The 17,480-nt window shown below is 42.3% G+C and overlaps 1 pseudogene, besides 1 other annotated feature; it reads right to left on the bottom strand.

The window, feature by feature from the left end:
* Window positions 1,011–1,265: a silencer, noted in NCBI's record as "fragment chrX:9162322-9162576 (GRCh37/hg19 assembly coordinates)". NCBI's record gives its function as "represses an EF-1alpha promoter that drives an FKBP-Casp9 reporter gene in an ReSE screen in K562 erythroleukemia cells {active_cell/tissue: K562}" and the evidence as "EXISTENCE:reporter gene assay evidence [ECO:0000049][PMID:32094911]".
* Window positions 15,646–16,180, bottom strand: BRK1P1 (BRICK1 pseudogene 1; annotated as a pseudogene).

Genomic DNA, 17,480 nt, shown 5'->3' with positions numbered 1-17,480 from the left:
GGGCTTACCATTCTTAGGCTGGTCCAAGTAAAAATCCCCTCCTGTGTCTCAGAGTCCCATCCTTTCTTCAGCAGAGCTCTGGCTTTGACTTAGAAGTCAGACTGCATGTTCAGTCTTTTTTGCAGCTCTGCTACCTGTTAAATGAAACCCTGGATCTTCTTTTTAGCACCATCTGCTTGCCCTGTGGTTGCTGGAGATGAGTGTCATAAATTGGTGGTTAACTACCCTGAGCCTATATATTTTTTTGCAAAACTTCCAACGGCATCCTTCACTTTGTCCTTATAAATATCACTGTGCCCCCTCAGAACACTATCTCCCACCCATGTCTCCACTCTGGCAGCCACAGGTAAAGCCTTCATACTTATGGATCCACTACTCACCAGGAGTGACTTCCTCAGGGACAGAGAGGCCAAGAGGATCCAAGGTGATGCATAAGGCACATCATCTGAATTGGGAAGAAGAAAGTGAAAATGTTTTAGAATAGGTCCAGAAAATAATGTTCATCTTGGGTCCCTCTGGAAAAGTTTTCAGAAACATGTATTTCAGGGAAAAATTATTATCATTCTTTTAAAAAATCCCTTATTTTCCAAAGTGCTCTTTCAGTTTTTTTTTTGTTTTTTTTTTTTTTTTTTGAGACGGAGTCTCGCTCTGTTGCCCAGGCTGGAGGCAGTGGTGCCATTTCGGCTCACTGCAACCTCTGCCTCCTGGGTTAAAGTGATTCTCCTGCCTCAGCCTCCCGAGTAGCTGGGACTACAGGTGCATGCTAATTTTTTTTTTTTTTAACTTTAAGTTCTGTGGTACATGTGCAGAATGTGCAGTTTTGCTGCATAGGTATACACGTGCCATGGTGGTTTGCGGCACCCATCAACCCATCACCTACATTAGGTATTTCTCCTAATGTTATCCCTCCCCTAGCCCCCCGCCCCACGACAGGCCTCGGTGTGTGATGTTCCCCTCCCTATGTCCATGTGTTCTCCTTGTACAACTCCCACTTATGAGTGAGAACATGTGGTGTTTGGTTTTCTGTTCTTGTGATAGTTTGCTGAGAATGATGGTTTCCAGCTTCATCCATGTCCCTGCAAAGGACATGAACTCATCCTTTGTATTTTTAGTAGAGACAGAGTTTCACCATGTTGGCCAGGATGGTCTCAATCTCTTGACCTCATGATCCGCTCGCCTTGGCCTCCCAAAGTGCTGGGATTACAGGCATGAGCCACTGCGCCCGGCCGCTGTCATTTCCTTTTTTAAAGTGTTTTTCTTCTTGCAGCCTATCTTTATCTCGTAGATACTGCTGGTGTCTGGTGATGGATGAGGTGGAGCCAGATAGTTGGGACTTTTCTGCTGAGTTCTCTTTCTTCAGCCTGCCTGTCTGTGACTGGTGGTTTGTGTCTTGGGATCCACCCCTGTGGAGCTGAATCGTGGTGCTTTCCTTAACGATGTCTCTTGCCGATGCCAGGTGTTCCCTCTTAGTCCAGCATACCTGGCTCAGGACTTGGGCCTTCTGAGCTCTTTAATAGCACAGCCGTACTCAGATCCCTGGAGTCCCTGGCCCTGACTCCTGCAGTTAGGAGCTCCATGCTGTCCTCTCTCCAGAGCTTCAGCTATCCTGTTGGATTCTTTCCTTTATATGATTGTCCCTATTCTTTGATAACTTGAAGCATTATTAATTTTCTACCTTTTTAACTAAGCTTTTCACTGTAAAATAAAACAAAGGAACAGAAAACTATACAAAACTGGCTCAGTGTGGTGGCTTGAGCCTGTAATCCCAACACTTTGGGAGGCTGAGGATTACCTGAGGCCAGTAGTTTGAGACCAGCTGAGTAACACAGTGAGACCCTGCCTCTAAAAAATAGGAATAAAATAATTAGCTGGGGCATAGTGGCATGTACCTGTAGTTTCATCTACTTGAGAGGCTGAGAGTATCACTTGAGCCCAGGAGGTGAAGGCTGCAGTGAGCTATGATCACGCCACTGAACTACAGCCTGGGCAACACGGGATGACCCTGTCTCAAAAAAAAAAAAAAAAAAAAAAAAAAAAAAAAAAAAGGAAAACGACACAAATGTGCATAGGTTAATTTATGATTCTGTGGCAAGCACCCTTGTAAATATCACCCCGGTCATAAGAAAGAACATTGGCAGATACTGTAGAAGCCCCATTCATGTGCCCCGTCCTGGTCATATCCCTTCTATCTTGCTGTGTACCCACTATGTTAACTTTTATAGCAATTGTTTTCTTGCATTTCTGTGTAGTTCTTTCTCTAAGATATGTATCCCTAGACACTATAGGTTCTGCCAACTTGTATAGTTGGATCTTTTAAAGGCTTTTAATGTACAGTGCTCTCCTCCATTCCTTTATGCTGCTGTATTGTTCTTTACAATTTACCTGTTGAAAAAGCTAGGGCATTGGACCTGTCGAGTTTGTCAAAGTTTGGACATTTGTGATTGCTTACTTATGGTGCAGCTGAATATTTTCCTGTGTTCTCTGTATTTCCCGCAGCTAGATGTAGAGGCTTGACCAGATTTAGAGTCAATTTGTTGGCAACATGAGGCAGTGTTGAGTTCTCTCCTCAGGAGCCATAATGGTAACTGAGTTGTACTCATTTTGTGATGTTAGCAGCTGCCTAGATCTGTTAATTCACTGGAAGTTGCAAAATGGTGATATTCTGACTCTATCATGTTGTTCGCATTTATTAGCTGCAATAATGTTACTAGGCGTCACTTCTCATCTACTCTGTGTTGCCCAGTGATGTAATTCCTGTGGGAAAGGCAGGATAGAAGCTTAATTCTTTAGTTTTATTTACTAGTCTTCAAGATAATGGATTGATTTCTTATAATCCTCAGAAAGGGACCAATTAATTTTTAAAAATTTAATCACAAACTCCTGATTTTAAATAAATACGTTTCAATCCATTGCAGTTCTTATCATTATTGAACTTCAGTTTGTCCCATCATGGTCAGTGAGAGTCTCTTCCTATTGGATTTTGAGTCCTTTTGACACAGAGCAGTCATTGATGGTTTTCTTGATATCTTCTATAAGATCTTTGATGTTATCTTGTACATATTCTAGCTCCAGGCTAGAAACTGACCATTTCTCCAAAATTCATTGGGGTATTTCACTGGGAAATGATATTTCAAGAACATAATCTTGGTGCTAGGGATGTTCATTGCCATTGGGTAGCCATTGTTTCCAGGAAATTGTGGGGGAAAGAGCTGGAAATTTTTTTTTTTTTTCTTTGAGATGGAGTCTTGCTCTGTCATCCAGGCTGGAGTGCAGTGGCCTGATCTCGGCTCACTGCAAGCTCCGCCTCCCGGGTTCACGCCATTCTCCTGCCTCAGCCTCCCGAGTAGCTGGGACTACAGGCATCTGCCACCACACACAGCTAATTTTTTTTTTTGTAGTTTTAGTAGAGACGGGATTTCACCATGTTAGCCAGGATGGTCTTGATCTCCTGACCTTGTGATCTGCCTGCCTCAGCCTCCCAGAGTGCTAGGATTACAGGCGTGAGCCACCACGCCTGGCCTAAGGGCTGGAAATTTTTTTAAGGCGACGTAGTTTATGAGTTTACAGTAATACTTGTCTCTATGTGAAATTTTAATCTCCCTTTCCAACACCAAGGATCCGCATTCTCCAGAACACTGGGAAGGCTAGAATTAAAATATTGCATAATTCCTCATTTGTTTTATCTTGCACCACACACATAACTGTCTCAAAATAATGATACAAATGCTACCATCACCACCAAAATGGTTACCAAAAACAGTTCAGAAAATTTTTTAACTCTGTTGTCTTCAATCTTTCCCCATTTTTCATGGTTGTGCTGTTTTTCACATGGTCTGAGTGTATAGCCATTGCATGTTATGCTCTCTTCCTTTTAACTCCCGGTTAGTTTTTGTGTGCAAGTCATATATTTAATGCTCAACACCAGCCTTAGGTCTGTGTCTCTCTAGTCAATCATTCTGGTTTTCTGTAACTCATTGTCTGGCAGACGCCTTCTGAAGGGCTCTTGGGAAAAAACATTCCCTGGCTTCTTACATCTTTAAGTTTGTGCTCTTTGTGCTTGAAGGCCAATTTCGCTCAATATAAAGAACTTGGACACGGGTTCCTTCCTTGGGTATCTTAAATCAGCGGTCCCCAACCATTTTGACACCAGGGACTGATTTTGTAGAAGACAATTTTTCCATGAATGGGGTGGGGCGGGAGGGATGGTTTCTGAATGAAACTGTTCCACTTCACATAATCAGGCATTAGAGCCTCACAGGGAACGTGCAACCTAGATCCCTCGCATGCACAGTTCACACCAGGGTTTGTGCTCCTGTGGGAATCTAATGCCGCCGCTGATCTGACAGAGGGCAGAGCTCAGGCAGTAATGCTGGCTCGCTTGTCGCTCATCTTCTGCTGTGTGGCCCGGTTCCTAACAGGCCACGGACCAGTACTGGTCCACTGTGCAGGGGTTGCGGACCCTGTCTTAAATATATTACTCCATTTTCTACTGGAAAAAAAAGCCTCGCTGTTCAAGTCTGATAATGATGTAAATTTATTTAAGTTATGTGTCACTTTCTATTTTTGCCTGTAAACCCACAGGATTCTTTTCCTTTAAAGTTCAGACATTTTAGTAGATAACATCTTCATGTCAGTTTTCTGGGTCAGTGGTCTCAGGGATGTTAGTTGCTCTTTCCATATGTCATTTCAAATCCCTATTTTGCAAAATTTTCTTGAATTATAGTTTTTGGTACTTGTTGCCCTGGTTGGGTTTTCTTTCAGGGATTTCTATTGTCAACACGTTCAATGTTCTTTGCTCATTTAAATACTTGTCGCTTTCTTTCAAATACTTTTTGTATCTTCAACTTTTTTTAATTTTAAATTTTCTTCCTTTTTGTACCTTTTATTTTTCTTGTTATTTTTAATGTGTTCTCTCTCATATTTTTTCTAGTTTACTCTTTATTTCTGAGATTATTTTTCTTATTTCTCATTGTCTTGAATTCTGCGTTGTGATTTCTGAGTATTTCAGTTTCTGATTTGTGTTGTATTTTAATGTTGTATGTCATTTCTATGAGTATTTTTTAGCTCTCTTCGAAACAGAAAATTACAGTTTTCAAGTGATTTATAAAAATGTATCTTCTGGCATGCTTTTCTTGTCTGTGGAGATGTTACTCTGCTCTTTCTTCTTTCATTTCTTATAATAAATTTGAGTCAGATTCAAGCATGATCCTTTTCCATTGTTCATTTTCACATAAAGTTAGTTTTCCTGAAGCATTAGAAGTAGTTGTGTTGAGTAGCATTTTAATCTTACTGACCTCACTGTTGTGTTGTTTTCATGTAGATTTTACAAGATTATGAGTCTGCTGGAGATTCTCTTCCCTTTGTTTCTCTTGTCCCTGCCCTGCTTAGCTTGGATTCTACTTGCAGTGTGAGGGCCCTGCCTAGAAGGGAACCCGGTGTCAGCTCCAAAGGCGTGTGGGGGCCAGAGAGCTCCCCCTGCCCCTTCAGACTGGCGGGGATGTCTGTTGAGTTCAATGAGACTCCTCTCAATTTCCACTGCTATTCTCACATGGGCCCACTATGCTTTCCAGCACAAGCCTATTGGCTGTTTCCAGGTTCTTCTGTTTTTGGGTCTGCCAGAATCCCTGATGTTTCCCCTGCTTCCTCCCACACAGACACTGATCCTGCAAGGCTTGCAGGTTGCTCTTCACCTGATTTTGCTGTGAATCTGCTGCATGTGTGGTTTTACTAACTGCTCATTCTGTCTGTGTTTCTGTGGAGATGTGGGGACCTTTGGAAACTGTGACACTGCTGTGGCGGCTCCCTCCCCAGATCTTACTGGAACATTACTGAACGGTGATCATGCATGAATTTAATGAACACAGTCACAGAGACTTGATAAAATGGGTCAAACAGCATCCCCAGACAGGCATTGCAATCCATTTTTATCACCTAGTAAAATTAAACCCTGAACGTGGATGATTGTATGGCCCCGGGAACAATAGCTAGAGGAGGGCGGTGACCTCGATGTTTGTGTAAATAAGAGCAGCAGCTGGAGGAAGGCAGGGATCTCAGTGTTTGTGTAACTGAGAGCAGCAGCTGGAGGAGGGCAGTGGTGATCTCAGTGTGTGTGTGTGTGAAAAAAGGATGCACGGTGAAGCCACGTCGGGTCCCAAGGCATCCGTAAACACCACACTTATAGAAAGAAGCAATCATGAAGCACCCCCTCTGCTTAACACTCTCCCGAGAGTTGGGGATAAAAAGGATGAAAACAAGTTGTAGCCCTTCCATGTGCTCTCAGTCTCAATAGGGAAACTAATTTGGAGACAGAAGGATTCATCAATGTTAAGCAATGGAGGAAACAAGCCATTCCCTTTCTTCCATATTAAAACTGGAAAAATAAACCTACACACCTGTATCCTGACTCCCTCACCCAGGAATTCCATTAAATCCTTGCTGCAGCTATATTTTCAATGTTTCTCTTTGTGTCATGAAAGATTCAGGATTGAAGGTGTTAGTGGCCCAGAAATAGACTCCCCCACCACCTTCATTTCTAGCTATTTCCAAAAAGACATGAAAGGAACCAAAGACTGTAGTCTATAAAACTGCTACTGACAAATGTTTCTTCTTCTCATCATTGGTTTAGGCCTTCTTGTTTCAGAAAATTAGATGTGTGTGTGTGTGTGTGTGTGTGCGCGCACATGTATGTGTTTTTGGTGGGGGTGGGTTTGGTGACACAGCCCAATAATTATCCATAAGATAATCTTGGAGAATAAGCAGGTATGGCTGGATCCCTCCCTGATGGGGGGATTGATGGATTGATGGCCTACGACAACTCTTTGTGTGTGTTTTTATGAGGAGAGATGGGATGAACTAAAGAGTTGATTTGATATCTTGGTGTGGTCATTCAAAACCCATCCTCTTAGCCACACAAGACTACAGTGTGGAGAACAAATATATCTCCATGGACTTTCTTGGCAGTGAAAAAAATGTTCATTTGGGAAAGTTTTCAAATTTTCAGCTATTTTAATGTTAAGAGTTAGTGCCAAACTTTGGCATTTGCCCATCTTTTCTCAAATTTGTCAATGTAGATCAAAACAGGAAGATAGAGCCTGGAGGCAGGTGAGGGACAAGAGAAGAAACCAGAAATAACATGATTGATGATATTCAGGGGGAAAAACCCACTTGACAGACTCATTTTTATGGCTGGGATACGTGATATGTAGCAGGCTTACTCAAGAGGCAGCTTTGTTCAGGGAATGAGATTCTATCTGTGTTATCTAATTAGGCAGGTCATACGCCATCTGTTTTTGTGAAGCTGGTTGCATTAAAAATCAGCCAGTTTTTGGGTTTTTTTTAAATACTCATTAACCTGTTTCAGGGGAACAAACATCAGGATCAAACGTTTAGGGGCAGCTTAGCCTTTCAGAAAAAGTTAATGCTTTAGGCACCTTGGGTGTGCTGAATAGAATTAGCTTGAATGTATCAGTACACAATGAATAAATAAAATAAGAAACACTTATATATAGCCTTATTTGCTTATTTACAGATTTGCGGATTTTTTTTCCACAGTCTTTTCAAATAGGGTAAAAGATAGATGTAGGTGGCATTTAGGTGTGGAAGAAATGGAAGGCTTGATGTGATTTGACAAGATTCAATACATTAATAAGTGCAAACACTTTATAAGGTGGTTTTGGCTTTTTGTATTTACAGCATGTGTGTTTGTGCACATGCATGTGTGTGCATCTGTTGCCTTAGGCTTGTGGATTCTGCAGGAATCAAGGTGTGGGAAATGCTGGAAAAACATTTATAGGCATCAGAATTTGGACCTAGGTTTTACTAATGATGTTTTCTATTCAGCTGGAAAGTGCTGCTCAGCTATCTGGAGCTATTTTTAAGAGCATGTAGTTGTACAGTCCCTAAAGCAGTGGAAAACAGCTATTTTACATACGGGAAAAATCTAGATAAGGAGATAATGATATTAGAAATATGTGTGTCTTGTGTTTTCTCTATGAAAGAACAGTTTCAGTGAGTTTTTTAATAAATAATTTTGAAAATAGCTTTTTATTGGACACCTATATGTTAGGTGCCAAAGACATCCTGTGATCTTGAGAGTTACTGATTTGTTCCCTTACGACCACTCTGAAATCGGCCACTCTGCAGAAAGAGAAGGACAGCGTAGAGAATGTTGCTGTAGAGGTAGGCGTGTTAATGATGTTTCCGGAGCAGAAAAGACAGAGTCAGTACTGTAGGTGATGCTTTGCACAATTACTTCGGGAACAACACGCCACTGCTCTAGAAATTTTCCTTTGTGTGAGGTCCAGTAAATTTCCTCCATAACTACACATTATTGCTCAATTATGTTCAACTAATTATGTGGAATCCAATTCACTGCCACACTCGGATATTACAGGACTATCTCTGTGATTACACAGCACAAGTGTTCTGGCAAACATGAGTTAAAGGAAGAAATATTTTATAACAGCAGCAGAGAGAGGTAGAGGCAATTTCCGACCAATTATACAGAAATCAGTAATCAAATTCTAAGAATTTAAGCTACGTGGGGCTAATACTTGTTCTGTTTTCCAGCACTTGGGGAGGTTGCAGCAAAAAAGCGAGGTATGGCAAGACAATCTTTTTAGGGAGTTAGGGCAAGGAGTTTGCCTGGAAGCTTTCTGCCAGGAGAGTTTGATTTCTGTGTTATTGCTAAAACGCCTCATTTTTGTTTCCGTGAAGAAGCTTTCCCTAAAGCTCCCTGTGCAAGGCTCGGAGCTGATTTTAAACGTGGGAGCTGACTTACGGGAGATTCTGGTTTGTTGAAACAGAGCTCCACAAGGGCCGAGAAGGCCTCCTCCTATCCTCAGAGATCCTGCCTGCCTTCTTCACGCTTCGCCTTTGATCTTCCCGGGAAGCTTTGAAGCTGCAGTCATCTTTGATTTTGATGTGCCGATCTGGATTTATTGTCTGGTTCTTTGGAAAAGGCAAAAAAGCTTCTCTTCCTCTGCGCCTGCGTTTCTTTCCTTTAAGAAAGTTTACATGCAGTTGTCTCGATGCCCCTCTCTTCCACGCAGTGTGGCACACAGCTCACTGGACAGGCGGTGGGAGCCCCATGAGGGAGTGGGCGACAGACGTGTGAAGAAATAATCTTGCTGATTCTCTCCTTTCTCCATTCCTGCTTCCCTCCCTTCTCACTGTTCCTTTTCTCTTCTTTTTTCTTTCTTTTGTCGTCCTCCTTCTTCTTCGAAGAAAGAAGGAAGGAAAGAAAGAAAGAAAGAAAAAAACCCTAATCAACTTAAAAAACACAGGCGTCAATTCCCACGGTATGTTAGTAGAGTGAAACATATTCTGTGGTGGTAGGTGACAACCCTGACATGGGACACATGAAAATCACTTTTGAAAACAGCTTCTGACACGGGTGCTGGGGGCGATGGGCAAAGACTCATGTGGACTGATGGAACACTGACTTCGTTTTTGGAGCAGTAGGAGTTGGAATGCGGGTTGACATCAAATAGCCATGGCTAGCATTCTAGGACAGATCATATTCCCCCAACAATATTGTTTTCTTAAACCCTAACTGTCCACATGAGTTAGGAGAGTAAAGCCTCAATAGCGCTGTTAGCCTACACGGAGGTTTCCTTGATTGACCTGTGCTTTTATCAGGCCTAGTGGGCACATATGTGTCAATGGTGTCTGGGGAAGGGCAGGGGCACAGAGGAGAAGGAGCAAAGCCCAGCCCTGCGAGTCCCAGGGAGTGCTCGCTGCACCCTGTCTCAGCTAATGTGTTTGTTTCTTGGCTTCTCTCGAAGGATTGTAATATGTGCTCTCTCAGGATAAAAATGACAATATTCTGAATATCACAGAACAGAGTGATCAGCAAAATGACTCTGCATAGGTTCAGATAGTATTTAGGCTTACAAATATTTTATATTTAATTATTATGGATAAATATGAATTGTATATATTCTTGAGGTTCATGTGATATTTTGATACAAGTATACACAGTGTCATAATCATATCAGAGTTATAGGATATCCATCACCTCAAGCATTTGTCTTTGTTGAAACTATCCAGTGATGCCTTTGTGGCACTGGAGCAGCCATAAGCAGTAGTAGCCAGTAGGCATGAATGAGTGCCAATAAAACTGCATCTATAAAAACAGGCATGGGGTCACATTTGGCCTATGGAAACTATGGGCCCTACTTGGTTGATTTGAGTGAAAGGAAACCAGGAAAAGAGGTTTTGTTCATGCTTGGAGGTCATGAGATTATTCACAGCTGTAACTATAATAAAATTTTAAAAATAATATTATTACTATATTATGGTTGTAATAAAGTTACTATTGTATTATCCCTTATAATGCCAAGCATGTGCTAGGTATTGTGCTAAGCATTTGACATTCATTATTTACAGAGATGCACGACCATTATAATAATCTAATTCCAGAATATCTTCCTCACCCCAAAAAGAAACCTCATACTCATTAGCCATGACCCCTCATTACTCCCTTCTCCCAACCCAACTAATCTATTTTCTGTCTCTGAATTTACTTATTCTGGGCCTCTCCTTGAAATGGAATCATGCAATATGTGGTCTTCTGTGTCTGGTTCTTTCACTGAGCATCATGTTTTCAAGGTTCACCCAGGTTGTGGCATGGATCAGAATGTCACTTCTTTTTATTAACAAATAATATTCTACTGTATGCTAGACCATATTTTGTTTATTCATTCATCAGTTCATGGACATTTGGGCTGTTTCCACTTCTTGGCTATTATGAATAATGCTGCTATGAACATTTGTATACAGGTTTTTGTGGGGACATATGCTTTCATTTCTCCTGGGTGTATACCTAGGAGTGGCATACTTGGGTTCCATGGTAACTATGTGTTTAACTTTTTGAGGAACTGCCAGACTTTTTCCAAAGCAGCTGCACCATTTTACATTCCCACCAGCAGCAATCTATTAGGGTCCCAATTTCTCCACATCCTCACCAACGTTTATTACTGTCTTTTTTATTATAGCTTTCCTAATGGGTGCACAGAGAAATTTTCTTAATAACTGGTTAAAAAGAAGACATCAGTCAAAGTTCTTGGTTTGCAATTTACCATAGAAACGTACTGCATGCCTTGCATAACCCAATAACGTGCCCATTGGATTGGAAATATGTGAGAGATGACTCACATATGTGTATTTTGATGTTCCCAAATGAAGACCTGAGTTCTTTTGCAGAAAAAAAAGGCACTTTGGGTTGGAACCTATATTACACATATGTTTAATGTGAACCCCAACCTCTCATCATCTCCAGCTCTTCTATGAATAATACGTGTCAATGCAGCTTTGCCTCAATGATGAAAATTATGTTCCTCAAAAAGTTTTTAGGAACATATTTTTGGGAGTCTGTCTTTTTTTTCATTTGCATCATTTTACATGTTTACAGTGAGAATAGAATAAATTGCAATGCCCCCGATTATTAATGCTTAAGAACTAATTTAATAAAGCAACATTAGTGACCAATTTTTTTGCAGGAACTGAATGTGACATAGTGAACAAGAATGAGAAGAAAACCAGTAGTCAGGAGAATGGAGTTCTGACTGCAGCTCTGCCTCTAGTATTTGATAATTCTGGATAGGCTGGTGATTTTGCCACATCAGCTTCCCCATCTCTAAATGGTGTGCCAGCCTCCTCTGTTTCTTATTTTACAGAGCTGTTGGATGGGATGTAAGGCAATGTATACAGAAGCACCTTGGAAAAGATGTGGAAGTGTGAAAGTGTACTGCAAAATCAAATTGAAGTTGAATCATCAGGAGAGTAAATAGCAACCGTGTGCTAGTGGCTAGGAGGAATAACCAAGCCACAGACACATCATGGCATTTTGATGTTGGGATAAAACTTGGAGCCCATCCAATGTAATTCCCTCATGTTTCTGATGAGAAAGCATGACATGCCCAATGTCCTTTGAGTGGCCAGGGGCAGGACTGGAATTAGACGTGAGCTTGTGTGAAGCTTAGCCCTCTTGTGTCTCCTAGAATTTTCATCCAAAGAACACTCTTTCCTTGTGGTTCCAGTAAAGCTCAGAATAGCAAACATTTAACCATCCACTGGTACTTTCTCTTCCACACTGACCTTTCTCTTGTACTATTGTTCTTTTGACGTAGCCACAAGAGACTGCAAGAGAGGCTAGGAAACATAGTCCACCTGTGGCCCCAGAAAGAAGAAGAAATAGCCTTGGGGAACATCAGCCAGCAGCAACCACAGAGACCCAAGTGGATGGGATGGTTGAAGCAGTTGGCTGGGAACTCTGCTACACCACTAAGTCAAATAGTAGCTCATCAGTGCCAGTTTTAGAGTGAAGGAGAAAAATGGGGGTGGGTTGGGTACATGCATGAATTGGGCTACCCTGAAAGCATGATAGCGGCTGTTAACATTACCACGTACAGGACGGAGCTGAGAGAAAGCTTTCTTCCTGGCACCCAGGAGACTTTGAGTGGTTTGCATGGGGCCCACCAGGCTCTCCCCAACCATCCTCTCCCACAGACTCCCGCGCACCTAGGAGGCCTGAGGGCCAGGGCAGGGCCATCGTATAGTGGCTCTCTGCTGGAGATGAGGACTTCCAGACCTCAAACTCAGATAGTTCTGCTACCCGGGGGTGGTGCTGGCAGCAGGGAACATTTTTCCTTCAGAGGGGGTGTGTTTCCCACTCAGGAGAATCCTGTTCTGAGATTGTGGAACCTTTTTTCCCTCTTGATTGAGCTCAGATATAAGACTCAAGCTGATATTTAATTACCTTTTACCTATGAAATTCCTTAATATAGTACCTATTTGCAGAGTACACCCACATTCTGTTAAATGCAGTGATCATTTTCTCCAGCTAGCTTCATGCCCAGAATGGTCTCTTTCTTTGTAGCTTTCCTACATCCTAGGCATCTTCACTCTTCCCAAATCTCTTTGAGTGCGCCTGTCCTGGACCAGTATCCACAGTGTGAAGGGTTTTGGTTTTGTACACTGAGGACCCTGATTTATGGGTCACATTTGAATTTACCTATTTTAAAGTTTCACATTCCTTACTGTAATAGTAATAGTATTTTAGGTCCACTGATTTATTTTCCTTCTGCTTTCTATGTCTTTCTAGATAATCTGACACTAAGTTGCTTAATTTTTGTAAGTGAACTTGAAAAAGGTCAATACTTCTAGGATAAAAAAAAATCCCTCAAAACTGTCTTTTCCTGGATAAAGTGTGTGCATGCATTTTGCAGATGCAACAGGGTAAAGGACACATGAGACATCAAAGAAACAATTCCTAGATGATATGTCAGACACGATTGCCTTTGAAAGAGCAAGGTGAGTCGTATCCTTTCTAGAGTTCAGTAACACTGGAGTTCAGTAGAGATCCCTAGGGTCTTAGCAAGGAAGCTTCCACTTTCCCATTACTTTAGTTTCTCTTTGGGGACTAATTATAGCAAGAGTGGCTTTAGTGCATTTAGTAAGAGAGCAGAGCGAAACAGTTGCCTTCTCTGCCAAGGCCCCCTCCTGTAACCCGTTCTTGACGGGTTGCAGTGGCCAGGTGGCATGCATTCCTGTGAGTTTCAGGGCAATGGTGGGGAAAGAATCCATGGGCTATCTTCCATGACCTGTTCAGTGAATGGATTCTACGTTGTATTTGATGATAGAAACAGTCTTGCGACCTGGTGTCAATCCAGACATGATGGGGAAGCATGACAGGATCCTGCGCAGAATCCTGGTGGCAGGTGTTTTTGTTGCCTTGTCATCGTGCCTTTAAAATGTTTGATGCTGTGTTTCCTTTTGGGGTTGCGCTGATCTCCTCAGGAAAGGGGCCCCATCCTAAATCCCCCCAGGACCGTGACTCCTCTCACACCTCAAGGGGGATCTATGCACACCAGTTAACATGCCCCTGTTACTCCTACTACAAGCATGGATGACAGCACAACTCGTGACTCAAGAAGCCAGCTATCCACTTTTGACTACCAGGGAGAAAAAAGCCACAAATCATGCCACAATGATAGGGCTAGGGGCAGTTCCCCATCAGAATGTCATGTCGTCAAAAACTCAGGGTGTATATCAGGATGGAGCGGGAGCAAGTAAAGTCCTCGAAAAAGAAGCAGTTGACCTTTGCCACTTTCCCTGTAGCACTTGAGTGTCCTCTGTGTATTCTCAAAGCCCCTCTAGTTACATCTCATCCCACGCTGGACTGCTGGAAAGGCACTTCTAAGTCATTCTCAGATGCCAAGCAGCATTTCAGACACATTCTGGGGCCAAATGCATCTCTGGCTGCTGATATTTTTGTTGCCTTCACACATAGATTCATTTAGCTCCAAACGTTATTTCAGTGATATTATAACTGTAATATCATGATTATTTTATTCTTTGGGAACATAAGGATGATTTTCAAATATTTATGATGGAATTGGACTTGATGCCTCATAATTGATATGACAGTAATTGCGAGTAAAAGCTGTATGATTTAGTGCAACTAGATTTTTGGGGAGCTGGTCTTCTCAGAAAACACTGGGTGGGGAGGGGGAAAACAAGACAGGAAAGGGAGGGCACCCACCAAAGGGTCTGTCATCAAGCCAGGTTCCACTGAGGATAAATGGAGCTTAATGCCCCACGGGAACTCTAGGAGTCAGGAGCATGCACGTACCCAAGGAACAAAGGAGCTGGGGCATTGATACACCAGCTTCCATCTGCCACTGGTTGAGGGCTGCTGGGGGGTGGAGCTTAATTCCCTAGCTCTTCAGGCCTGCAGGTGCACATTCGAGTCACTAGATAGAGCCCTCAGGTAATGAGCTGGCCACTCATGAGGCTAAGGGGCTATAGATGGGACACAACTAGCATCTACTACAACTCCTTACAATAAGTCCCTCAATTTAAAGTTTTTAAAAAGTAGGAGAAGCATTGAACAAGTCAAAAAATGACTTGTTTTAATGAGACAGACTACAAATGGAAGTAGGAACTCTGCGAAGGGATTTATAATGACTGCAGTGTTTGCAAAGGCTCCTCAAGGAATGGACATTGGATTTGTGCTTTGAATGAAGCAAAGACTTTTTTCTCTGATTCAATGATGTATCTTTTATTGGAGTATAACATGCCTACATGGTAAGTACTTGATAAATGTGCTGAATGACCAAATGATTCCTAGGATAAACTAATCAGCTGAAAGTCCAAACATGGGGGCTTGGGCTGGTAAGCCACTTAGGCTTTGAATCAAACAGCTACATCTGAAAGTTTTGTTGGAATAATAATCCCATACATTACATTACTGTGGAATAAGTGAACCCATCTCTAGGTCCTGTCCCTACCATAATCACAGCAGTCAGATCAAGTTGAGGAGTTTATTAGGGAAATTTGAGAGGCATAGACACCCCAAGTGACAGAAAGAAATGTCTGAAAATGTCCCTTTAAGCCAAGTGGGAGCCTGGCCTCGACCTCCCCAAATCAACAGGAAACCGGCGGATTAGCAACAGCATTCTCTGGTAGCCACATTGCCAGAGCATGAGTGTCTTGGCCAGGACTGCCTCACACTTCCCACCAAAGGTGGGGAGGAGACAAAGACTGTTCACAGAAGCAGTGCAGAGGCAATGAGAACTTTAAGGAAAGTCTGAGAGAGAAAGAAGGATAGGGGTGGGGAGGACCTTCACAAAGAATCCCAGGCTTTTGGCTGTGAATGTCTCAAATACATTGACAAGTAATTCTACAAAATGTTACTGGAAAGGTAAAATACCTAATGTTGTTTCCAAGAGTTCCTCTAGACTTTTCCTCATATACCACATCACACCCTCAGATGTACATGGAAGAACCCAAAGGCCACACTTTTGAAAAGGAAAAACAAGAATAAGCCCTGTTGCTCTTTAAGGAGAAAGGAAGGAACAGAAGGCTGCTGGGGCCTTTCTCACGTGGCCTGTGTTCTGTAAAGCAACTTCCCAGCAGCAGCATGGCACTGTTCTAGGTAAGCATCTCACCTTTTGTCACCCATGCTTCAATGTACTCTATTCTCTGTTCAAGGGCTGTCAATTTCTCCCTTAGTGTTGCAAATCTTGAATAAGACATATTGAACGAGTTGAGAAAGTCTGCAGTTTTCTTGATGCTGCTGGTGATTATCTCAATGTACTCCCAGTTCGCCCAGTCCTACTGAATCTCCTGCTGCACCAGATCCTCTTGTCCTGCCATGGTGAAAGCCTGAGGAAGACTGAAGTAAAGACTTTGGATCTGTGAAGGGGACAAGGAGAAAACTCCAGGCAAGAGAAATGGCAAGAGCAAGGAAAGGAAAATGAGTGGAGATCTACTGACTTCTTATTGGGAAATATTAATAACTCTCCAAAGGTTTTCTGTGTTTCAGCATGTCCTGCAAATGTGGCACAAAATGCCATTTTATTCCAGACTATCTTGGTGTTTATGTCCATTACAGTTTGGAAGATGAGATAGTGTCTCTGTCTAGAGCATGCAGCAGATTTGTTTGCTTACTCTGCAGTATTGTAGAGATAATGTCTCTCTCCAGGGCAAAGATCAGGCAGGTGTACTGCCTATTATAATATACTCAGTTTCTCTCTCCTGTAATGTAATGCACTGTGTGTGCAGGGGTCACATGGCCTTTGCATTGCCTCTTGAAATTGGAGATTGAGGAATAGGCTTAATTGATGATACTCTGGCCGCTGATATTGCTGTGAGTAGTAGAGTCATTTGTCTCTGACCCAGGAATTTCGTGTCTTCTGCCAGCATCCCTGAATCTGTGGCAAGCTAACTTGTTTGCTAAAATCTCAGACCCTTCACAGTGGTTGACACTTCTAAGTATGATGCTCAAATAAATACTCTAATTCAAGCCTCAGGTCATCCCCATGAAGTAGGAATTATTATTGTGGTTCATGTTTTATATCTAAGGAACCTGATATCGATCAGCTGTTTACCCATGTTCTCTCTTATTTTTACAGCTATGAGCAGGCACTCATGTTGCCGTGAACTACGCACTGAGTACTGGGTGAGTCAGAACAGGTACCTGTGTGTGAGGTTGGGGCTCTGTGCCCTTTCCATTTAACCCTGTTTCGCTGATTCCACCGTAGGTCCTGTTGACTCTCAGGCAAAGAGATTGACCCTTGTTAATTTTTTTGAGCAGCTGCCTAGGAAAGCAGAAATCTAGAACAACTTTGTTAGTCAGATCCTGAGTCTACCTTGGTCCCAGAGCAAAGGGTTTAAAGGATCTTAAATGATTTCTAAACCCTATTAAAAGTAATGGCAAAAACCACAATTAATTTTGCACCAACCTAAAATACGAATCAGATGCACACAGATCTAGGGATGCTCATGAATTTCAACTTTTGGAAGGACAGCTAGGATAGATCTCATCCAAACTAGACTTGCTGATGGGATTCTAGAGCTCGTTTCAAACACGGTCATAGAAAAACAGGCTCAAAACAAGAGAAAAGCCACAACCCAATGCAGACAATTTATCAGAGCATGGTGGTGGCCTGGGATAAGAGAGATGTGTGAGTAAG

This window comes from Homo sapiens, chromosome X (genome assembly GCF_000001405.40).
Source record: "Homo sapiens chromosome X, GRCh38.p14 Primary Assembly".
Taxonomy (NCBI): Eukaryota; Metazoa; Chordata; class Mammalia; order Primates; family Hominidae; genus Homo; species Homo sapiens.
This window is presented reverse-complemented; position numbering and strand designations above follow the sequence as displayed.